The sequence below is a fragment of the Homo sapiens genome, chromosome X (genome assembly GCF_000001405.40).
Source record: "Homo sapiens chromosome X, GRCh38.p14 Primary Assembly".
In the NCBI taxonomy this organism is placed as follows: domain Eukaryota; kingdom Metazoa; phylum Chordata; class Mammalia; order Primates; family Hominidae; genus Homo; species Homo sapiens.
The window spans coordinates 63,407,362-63,417,779 of record NC_000023.11 but is presented as its reverse complement, the minus strand read 5'-3'; the positions used below and the strand labels follow the sequence as shown (position 1 = coordinate 63,417,779).

Here is a 10,418-nt window from a genome sequence, read left to right as displayed (position 1 = left end):
TGGCTCACACCTGTAAAACCAACACTTTGAGAGGCCGAGGCGAGCAGATCACCTGAGGTCAGGAGTTCAAGATCATCCTGGCCAACGCGGCAAAACCTGATCTCTACTGAAAAAAAAAAAAAAAAGTACAAAAATTAGCCTGGTGTGGTGGCGGGCACCTGTATTCCCAGCTACTCAGGAGGCTCACTTGAACCCGGGAGGCGGAGGTTGCAGTGAGCCAAGATCATGCCACTGCACTCCAGCCTGGGCAACAAGAGCACAAGAGGGACATTCCATCAAAAAAAAAAAAAAAAAAAAAAAAAAAAAAAACACCAATTTTACCAATTTTCCTCAAATTATTAAAAAATGTTAAATATTGGCCAGGCTTGGTGGCTCATGCCTGAAATCCCAGCACTTTGGGAGGCCAAGGCAGGCAGATCACCAGGTCAGGAGATCAAGACCATCCTGGCTAATACGGTGAAACCCCATCTCTACTGAAAATACAAAAAATTAGCTAGGTGTGGTGGCGGACGCTTGTAGTCCCAGCTACTAGGGAGGCTGAGGCAGGAGAATGGCATGAACCTGGGAGGCAGAGCTTGCAGTGAGCAGAGATCACGCCACTGCACTCCAGCCTCGGGATAGAACAAGACTCTGTCTCAAAAAAAAAAAAAAAAGTTAAATATTAGCAATTTCTCCATAACTGATTATATGATGCCTGAATTACTTTTATACTAAAACTAGATATAAACAAAAAAAATTATAGACCAATAACTCTGATAAATATAGAAAAAAAATCCTCAACAAAATACAAGCAAAGGGAATTCAACAGCACATTAGAAAGATAACACGTCATGATCAAATAAAATTTATTCCAGGTGGGCAAGGATGGTTTATCATACAAATCAATAAATGTGGTAAATTACCTCAACAGAATGAATGACAAAAAACATAATCATCTCAATAGGTACAAAAAATATTTGAATGAATTAACCATCCCTTCATGATTAAAAACTCTGAACAAACTCGGTATAGAAGGAACATATTGTGACATAATAATGGCCATATATGGCAAATGTACAGCTAACATCACACTGAATGGGGAAAAGTGGTGTAGCAGGATGAGCCACAGACAAAATTCCTCAGACACTGAGTTAAAAAAGGAAGGGGTTTATTCGGCCGGGGGCATCGGCAAGACTCCTCTCTAAAGAGCCGAGCTTGAGTGAGCAATTCCTGTCCCTTTTAAGGGCTCACGACTCTAAGGGGGTGCGCATGAGAGTCATAATCGATTGAGCAAGCAGCGAGTATGTGACTGGGGGCTGCATGCACTGGTAATTAGATTGGAACAAAACAGGATAGGGATTTTCACAGTGCTTTTCTATACAGTGTCTGTAATCTATAGATAACATAACCGATTAGGTCAAGGGTCTATCTTTAACTACCGGGCCCAGGGTGTGGTGCCAGGCTTTCTGCTTGTGGATTTCATTTCTGCCTTTTAGTTCTTACTTTTTTCTTTCTTTGGAGGCAGAAATTGGGCATAAGACAATATGAGGGGTGGTCTCCTCTCTTATTCCCCCCCTTTGGGACTCTCACTTAATAATGGGAGTTCTCACTTTCATTTTTACTAACCATGTCTTCTTGCAAGACAGATTGATAGTGATTCATATAGTACACTTGTGCTGAAGCATTTTGGTGAACTAACGTAGCGATGAAGCTTTTTATCATTTAAAGAAGTACAGGTAGCAAACAAGGGAGCAGTAAGCAGGTTCCTGTTACTATTATAACTCTTATTATAAGAGTTTTAAATCCTCCTAGTGCTGGGAACCATGTGCACAGGCACATGTGCCAGTTTTGTCATATCTCTAACTATGTCTTCAACTACTTGCCCTTGATTATCTAAGTGTAGGCAGCAATTAGTAAGGTTAAATTTCCTACAGACTTCTTCAGCTGCTGGCAAGCAGTCGAGAGCTAATCTATTTTGATAGATACCATTTTTCATTTCAGCTTCTTGCCGGGCCAGAATAGTCAAGACTCTGCCGGTTTTATTAGTGATTATTTTTAAGACAGCTTGTAACCATATGATTCAGTTGATCATGTAAATGGGGGTCTGGTATCCCCACGAGCCATCTTGTGCCTAAGTAGCAGGCCGATAATATTGTGTGATTCTCTCAGAGGGCCATTTATCATTTTTTTCAATTTCCTATAGCTATGCTTCTATTTTTGCAGGAAGCATAGACAGGGAAGCCCAGGAGTTTGCCTGTTTCTATAGGCAGTAGGAAGAACGATGGTTTAATAATGCCAATAACACAACTACCTGCCTACTTGTCAGGAAATTTGGCATAAGCTCTATGCCTACATATCCAGTATAATCCAGTGGGGGCTGTCCAGTCCTGGTGGGACTCTGGGTGGGTCCACACGGTTTGCAACTTTGGGAATTCACTAAATTGATTTCTCTCTGTGTGATTTGAACCCCACCAAGTGACTGATTTTGTGGTACCATTATACAGTTTCTGTCTCAGACAATTAAGTCATCCTATGGGGTGAGTGAATTCTTTTGCTTCTCTAGCTATGCAATATTGTCCAATAATTGAGGCTTTTGGGACCCAGAAGTTATCAGGGTGATTCTTTTGATCCGGGAATTCATCAGGAACTGGGTCTGTAGGTACTAATTCTCGGGCTTCCCATGGCCATTGATCTCCTATTACAGTTTCTCCACATACATAACATGAAGTGACATTGAGAGACTGGGCTACATGCTCGGCTAATTGCAAAAACAAATTTCTTGTTTTTCCTGGAATTTCTGGTACTGGCACATTTAGTTCATCATAGAAAGTTTGAAACACTGGCTCAGGAAAGCATTTGTAAACTTCTCCTTGAACCAAGATAGTTACTCGAGGATCCACTCTGGCCCCATCGATTCCTAAGGTCACACACTCATCTTTTTTCCAGTGAGGATCAAGGGGATTGGTTATTACTAGCTCTAAGGGGTTACATTGTCCTTTAGTACAGGAAGGGCCATTTTTTCCTTTCTAAAGGTGGACTGGATCCTTTTCTTTTTTTTTTTTTTTAATTCAAGTGGCCTAAATGACACAAGGCCAGTATTTATATTTATTTCCACAAAGTCCTGATTTATGACAGATGTACTTATTTTCTGCTATATAGCCTCTTTTCTAATTCAGAGAAGCATACCTTATTCCTAACTTATTACTGCTAATGACAGCACAGGCATCAAATTTTAAGGTGACTTGTTTGGGCACCCCTTTTTCTTCTGTTTTGGCTAGCGCTTTACTCATATCCTTTATGAGCCCCCAGCAGTCCTCAGTCCTTAATCTTATTTTAAAAACTGTGGTCATAGGAGGCTCAGATGGGTCATAACACACATCAGGTTGGTCATTTCCTGGGCTACATACCTTGTATAGAATAACATTATACAAAGAAGTTCTTTTTAGAGTTCCAGTACACTTATAATAACCATAAAATAGTAGGACCATAGCAACCTTTTGTCCTACCTCAGTGACTTGATGTATACAGTGGGAACAGTCCTCAGTCTGAGAAAGGTCAGTTGAAGTCCTTACTGTAAAAGTCCAAATTTTAAGGAAAATGAGTCCTGCAATGAGTTTTCTCATTCTTCAGCCATGCGTGGACCAGTTAGCTTCTGAGTGTGACTGGAGCAGGGCTTGTCGTCTTCTTCAGAGTCACTTTGCAGGGGTTGACGAAGCTGCTCCTGTCCACATACCGCTGACAGTCTACTGATGTTTAAGGATGGTATCGGAGGTTGGGCCTACTAGAATAAACCAAGTCCAACACCTCTACACAGTTATGTTCAACTGGGCTCTCTGGTACCGGGAGCAAGGTGGTGGGGTTTAAGGTGTTGCAAACTTCAACGGTTATGCTGGGATTTTCACATAGCAAGCTTTGGTACTTGGTTAATCTAGCATTTGTTAACTAATGATGTCTTTTGGTAGTCATTAAAGTTACCACAGCATGGGGGGCCTTTATATTCAGGTTTTGCCTAAGGGTTAGTTTATCTGCTTCTTGTGCTAACAGGGCCATTGCTGCTAGGGCACTTAGACCTGAGGGCCAGCCTTTGGAAACCCTGTATAGTTTTTTGAGAGATAGGCCACTGGCCTTGGCCAGGGCCCCACAGTCTGGGTTAAAACTCCAACTGCCATTTTTCTCTTTCTGACACATAGAGTGTAAAGAGTTTTTTCAGGTCAGGTAGTCTCAGGGCTGGGGCCGACATGAGTTTTTCCTTTAACTCATGAAAAGCTCATTGTTGTTGGTTGTAATAGATGCAGTTTATCTAATCTACATTTTTATTAACTGTCACCTACCAAAATATTGACTCAAATCCTGCAGCTATTTGATTTCAAGCTTTAAATTGATCTGGTCTTCCTCATGGGACTCCAATTGCGTCTAAATAGACATGAGAGTCGAAAGACCCATAAGGAGCTTCTCTGGCTTTATGATGTCTTATTTCTTTTCCTTCTGGTTGATGAAATTCCAAGGTGAAAGGGATAGCCAATTGGACTAAAGTATAAGTGCCACTCCAGTTATTTGGCAGAGTGCCCAGTAAAGGTCCACCACAATACCACCACACATCTGCTTGGGGATGAACAAGGGCTGACTGATTGATAAGCTCTTGAAAATTCTTAAGCTCACTGCATCTTTTCAGATATCCAAGGAACACTAAGTTTCCTCCCTGTCATGAGAGACACAAAGTGAACTTAGTGTTGGGAGACGGAAGCTGGATGGCCCTCGGGGGCTGACCTGCAGGGTGCCGGACTTTGGGATATAGCAGAGAGATCTTGGCATGACTTATTATTCCAGGCTGTAGAATCCTGGAAAAGAGCTGCCATACAGCCCACACCTGGTCAACTGGAGGACCACCTTAGTGGAAAGGGGACAATCTAGGCCTCTGGCCTGCCATGTGCACAAGCATAGCAATTGCTTTTATTTAGCATGCAGATGGAATATTTGATCCATTTTAACCAGGCATTTGCATCTTGGTATCCTGTCTTAATTGCTAAAGTTTAAGTCTTTAACTTCTATGATCCTCTAGTAAAATGAATATATGGTTTTAGGAAATTACAAAAACCAGTTGGGCAGTCCATCCTTGCTCTTTAGTGGTCCACAGAACATTGGACCAACTACGGCATGAAAGCTCTACATCGGGGAGTAAGACTCCTGGTTGGCACTGGGGTCTTTATTAAAATCTCCCTGGATTAAATGGTCCTAGTTTACTAATGCCCAGTCTGAGGAGAGTCAGGAGGGACGGAAGTACTTTTCTGAAGCAGAGAGCTGTCTTTGACTTGGCAAGTCCCCACAAGGTATAACAAGGCAAGCATTAAATGCAACAGTTTCAGATGAAATTGACTTGGTTATGTTAATAACTAGATGGTCAGCAATAGAACGAGGAAAGAAAAAAGAGTAATAGAATAGAAGAAAAGAGTTAAATTTTTCTTAGCTTTAGTTTGGTAGGGTTTTCCCCTGGGACTATGGCCCACAACTCTGGAGGGGGTGGCGCTTTCTTGACTCAGGTGTGATGAGTCCATCCACTTTTTTTTTTTCTTTCCTTTTTTTTTTTTTTTTTGCTGTATGAACAGCAGTCTTGGTGGTTAGCAGCACAAGGTAGGGTCCTTCCCAGGCTGGCTCGAGTTTTTCTTCTTTCCACCCTTTGTTGAGAACGTGATCTTCAGGCTGGTGCTGGTTTACTGGAAATTCTAGGAGTGGTACATGTGCTAAAAGACTTTTAGTTTTTGAGATAAAGGAAAGTGGAAGATAAACCAAGTGTACAATTTTTAAGAAATTGACCTTTTGTTTTAATTGTGGGGACCTTGGCAGTGGACTTTATAGTGCCTTTTTACTGAGAAATATCCTTTAGCACCTATTTTTATTAGTTTTTAAACCAAAGAAAGCCAAATACCATTTTACATTTAACGATGCTTCTTGTACGATTTTAATACAAGATAAGCTAAATTTTATGTTTATATTAGTGTGTTATTAATGTTAAACCTAATTTTAATAAAACCTTGTAGACATATTTATCTAATTTTTAATGTTTGACCAAAAGGTAAGATTTCATAGACTCTTTTTAACATTTTATAATTTTTGTGAAAGAGCAGGTTGGTGCTTTAAGAAAAACTTGTTATGCTTTTACTTTAATGTCCAGTTCACAGAAAAACTGGATGATACTTCTTTAACTTTAGCTAATCTGTTTACACACAGAATTTTCTTTACAATTAACATTTTAAAACTTGCTTAAACCTTCAAAACAATATTTTTTAACTTTTTAATGTAGGTAAAAATGTACATGCTTATGCTTCCTTATAACCCTTTTACCAAAGATACATTTTACTTTTCTTAACACCTTGCACATAAACTGTTTTTTTTTTCAATAGTTTTACATTCAGGAGGCCTAGTTACTTTTAAATTATACAACATTTCTTGCATAAATTCTTTTTTTATAACATTTTTCTGTTTCATGGCTTTCGCAGACAATTCTTCAACATGCCTCAACTTTCTGACTTATTACAAATATTTCTGTCTTTAAACAACCAGTTATTTCAGGACAAGAATTTACCATATAATACTCTTTTTATATAAATTCTGTCTCCCCTTTTTTTTTCTTTTTTTTTTTATTTCTTAGGATACTTCTGAACTGGTGAGGTGTGCTCACAATGAGGTTTCCTCTAAAAGTTATTTTTTTACTTTTTTGTTAGCAAAGCAATTGCCGCTACAGATTAAGTGTGTTTGGGCCATCCGCAGGTTACTGGGGTAAGGATTTTCGATAGGAAGGACTCAGTGCTTTTGAAATACGCGCTTGTTTACACTGACGACAAAGTGGTATTGGAGTGTTATAGGGTTATGGAGAATACCTTCAATTACCAATTATAGGTTTTAAATTTACCTTGGCTTTTAAAGGAATAGGGTACACTTTTTTTTCTTAAGTACTTGTATATCTCTCTCTTTCTCTCTTTGACTTTGTCTCTCTCTTTGACTTTGTCTCTCTCTTTGACTTTCCTTTTGCCTCTGTCTCTTCCTCTCTCTCTCTGCCCATCTCTTTCTTTCTCTCTCTCTCTCTCCTTGACTCCCTCTTTGTCGTCTCTTCCTCTCCGACTCTTCCTCTCTCTCTTTGCCTCTTTTCCTCTCTGTCTCTTTCCTTTCTCTCTCTCTGCTGGTCTTTCCTTTCCTCTGCCAGCTGCTTATGCTGCTCTTCTCTCAACCACTGTGTGTTGGGGGAAGGGGGTCTAAAACCAGCTGTAACCAAGTGTCTATGTACAGGAACTGGTCTGGGTTCCTTGGCTTATAGGTTACCTGGTGCCATACCTTTGAAACAAGGGACCTGTCCAGGCTTCCTTCTAATGGCCAACCTACTTCTAATGCTGGCCAGTCTATCTTACACAAAGTTTTAAGTTTTCCTGGTGTCATAGTACTCCATAGTCTGCCTTAAATTCTTTTTTTAAATTTTTTAACATAGTTCCGAGTAGAGTGGGCTTATTTGTGCCTGACCTATGCTTCTTCGAGACAAAACACCATGCTCACACCACACGCACACCACAAAACAAAGAACGGGTAAAAAGAGCACACACACACTTTTGCAGTTTGAACCAAACCAAAATCAAAACCAAAATCAGAGTATCCATAAATCCAAGCCAGGTCAAAACCAAAACCAAAGTATCAAGCAATCCAAGTCAAGTCAAAAACAAAAACCAAAGTGCTGGTACAGGCACACTGTGGATGATCAGGCCACGCTTTCACTCAAATGGAGTAGGCAAGTTCCCAAGACAATCCTGTCAAGCAATTCAAACCAAGTCAAAACCAAAACCAAAGTGCCAATAAAGGCACACCGTGGGTGATCAGGCCACGCTTCCACTCAAATGGAGTGGGCAAGTTCCCAAGACTGGTCCTGTCAATCAATTCAAACCAAGTCAAAACCAAAACCAAAACCAAAGTGCTGATAAAGGCACACCATGGGTGATCAGGCCACACTTCCACTCAAACGGAGAGGGCAAGTTTCAGAGACTAGTCTTACCAAGTTTTAGATGTCCGGACTCTAAGTGCTCATTCTTTCCCGGTGTTCAGCCACCGCATTTATCCTCCATGGGAGCCTGCCACACACTGCTCTGGTGAGGCCTCCCACCAGGGCAAATGCCTACCCGGGAGTGCTCTCAAGATCCGTGTCACTCGGGCTGGTCAGAGTCCCCCGCAGGGATGTTCCACAGGGCAGGCTTAAGCTGCCTAAGGAACTGCCTCAACCATCCGCCATTCACCTCACTTCCCAGTCAGAGAAAAGAAATGTAGCAGGATGAGCATAGACAAAACTCCTCAGACACTGAGTTAAAGAAAGAAGGGGTTTATTCGGCCGGTGGCATCGGCAAGACTCCTGTCTCAAGAGCCAAGCTCCCCGAGAGAGCAATTCCTGTCCCTTTTAAGGGCTCACAACTCATGCACAACACCCTTGGGTGTGCATGAGAGGGTTGTGATCAATTGAGCAAGCAGGGGGTACGTGAGTGGGGGCTGCAGCCACTGGTAATTAGATCGGAACAAAACAGGATAGGGATTTTCACAGTGCTTTTCTATACAACATCTGTAATCTATAGATAACATAACTGATTAGGTTAGGGGCTGATCTTTAACCACCAGGCCCAGGGTGTGGCGCCGGGCTTTCTGCTTGTGGATTTCATTTATGCCTTTCAGTTCTTACTTTTTTCTTCCTTTGGAGGCAGAAATTGGGCATAAGACAATATGAGGGGTGGTCTCCTCCCTTAGTGGAAATATTTTTTTCTTTCTAAGAACTTGAAAATAACAAGGAGGCCCACTTTACCAGGTCTATTCAACATAGTACTACAATTATACCCAAGCAGTCAGGCAAGAGAAATAAAAGCCTTCCCAATTGTAAAAGATGAGGTTAAACTGTCCCTCTCTGTAGATGACAAAATGTTATATTTAGAAAAACCTAAAGATTTCATAAAAAACACTTTGATCTGATTAATAAATTTAGTAAAGTTTCAGAATAAAAATCACCATATAAAAAAACAGTAGTGTTTTTATACACCAATAATGAACTAGCTATAAAAAGGAAATCAAGAAGATACCATTTTCAATAGCTACAAAATACATACTGTAAAATAAAAAGTATCCAAGAATCAATTTAGACATTTATTTTGCTAAGGTTAAGGACATGCTTATGACACAGTCTCAGGACAATATGTGCCCAAGGTGGTCAAGCTACGGCTAGGTTTTATACATTTTATGGAGACATAAGATATCAATCAATACATAAAGATATACTTTGGTTTGGTCCCCAAATGTGGGACTACTCAAAGTTGGGTTTTCCAAGTAACAGGGGTATTCAAATATTTTCTGATTGGCAATTGGTTGAAAGAGTTTATCTAAAGACATAGAATCCGTAGAAGGTAATGTCTTGGTTAAGAAGTGGTGGAGTCCAAATAGCTTATTATGCAAATGAAGCCTCCAGGTAGCAGGCTTCAGAGACAATAGATTGTAAATGTTTCCTTTCAGACTTAAAGAGTCTGTTATGGCAGTCTTAAGATCTCTGTTTTAATGTTAATGCTGGTCAGGTGTGCCTAAATTCAAAAAGAGAGGAAAGTATAAGGCATGTCTGACCACCCATTCATATTATGGCTAGTGTTTCAGGTTTACCTGAGAAAGACTCTGGCTGAGAGGAGGGGTCCATTCAGTTGGATGGGGAGCTTTGAATACTTTTTTGTTTGTTTATAGTGCACAGGAATAATTGTATTCAAGGAGGTAAAATGCCTCTACAGCAAAAACTATGGAACAGTGATTTAAAAAATGAAAGAGAACACAAAAGATTAGAACGCCATCACATCCTCATGGATCAGAATAAGTAATATTGTTAAATAGCCATATTTCTTAAAGCAGTCTTCAGATTCAATGCAATTCTTATCAAAATACCGATGACGTTTGTCACAGAAAAAGAAAGAAAAATTTTTAAATGTATATGTAATAAAAAAGAGCTAGAATAGCCAAAGCAATCTTGAGCAAAAGGAAAAAAGCTGAAGACGTCACACTTCCTGACTTCAAATACATGACAAGGCTATTTCTATGGTTTGGATATTTGATCCATCCATATATCAGGTTGAAAATTAATCCCAAACGTTGGAGATGAAGCCTAATTGAAGGTGTTTGGATAATGGGGGTATATGCCTCATGAAGGATTTGGTTTTATACTCACAGTAATGAGAATGTTCTTGCTTTATTAAGAGTTCTCCCAAGAACTGTTTGTTAAAAAGAGCATGGCAACTCCCCCCACTCTGTCTTTCCTTCTTTCTCATCATTGGATCTCCACACACTGGCTCTTTTTTGCTTTCTGCCTTGAGTGGAAGCAGCCTGAGGCCCTTAACAGAAACAAATACTGGCTCCATGTTTAGTGTGTAACCCACAGAACTCTGTGCTAA

The 10,418-nt window shown here is 40.2% G+C and overlaps 1 annotated feature.

Moving 5' to 3' along the window:
• Positions 9,149 to 9,963: an enhancer, noted in NCBI's record as "OCT4-NANOG hESC enhancer chrX:62627697-62628511 (GRCh37/hg19 assembly coordinates)". NCBI's record gives its function as "activates a minimal SCP1, AML or CMV promoter by ChIP-STARR-seq in naive and primed H9 embryonic stem cells {active_cell/tissue: H9 hESC(naive and primed)}" and the evidence as "EXISTENCE:reporter gene assay evidence [ECO:0000049][PMID:30033119]".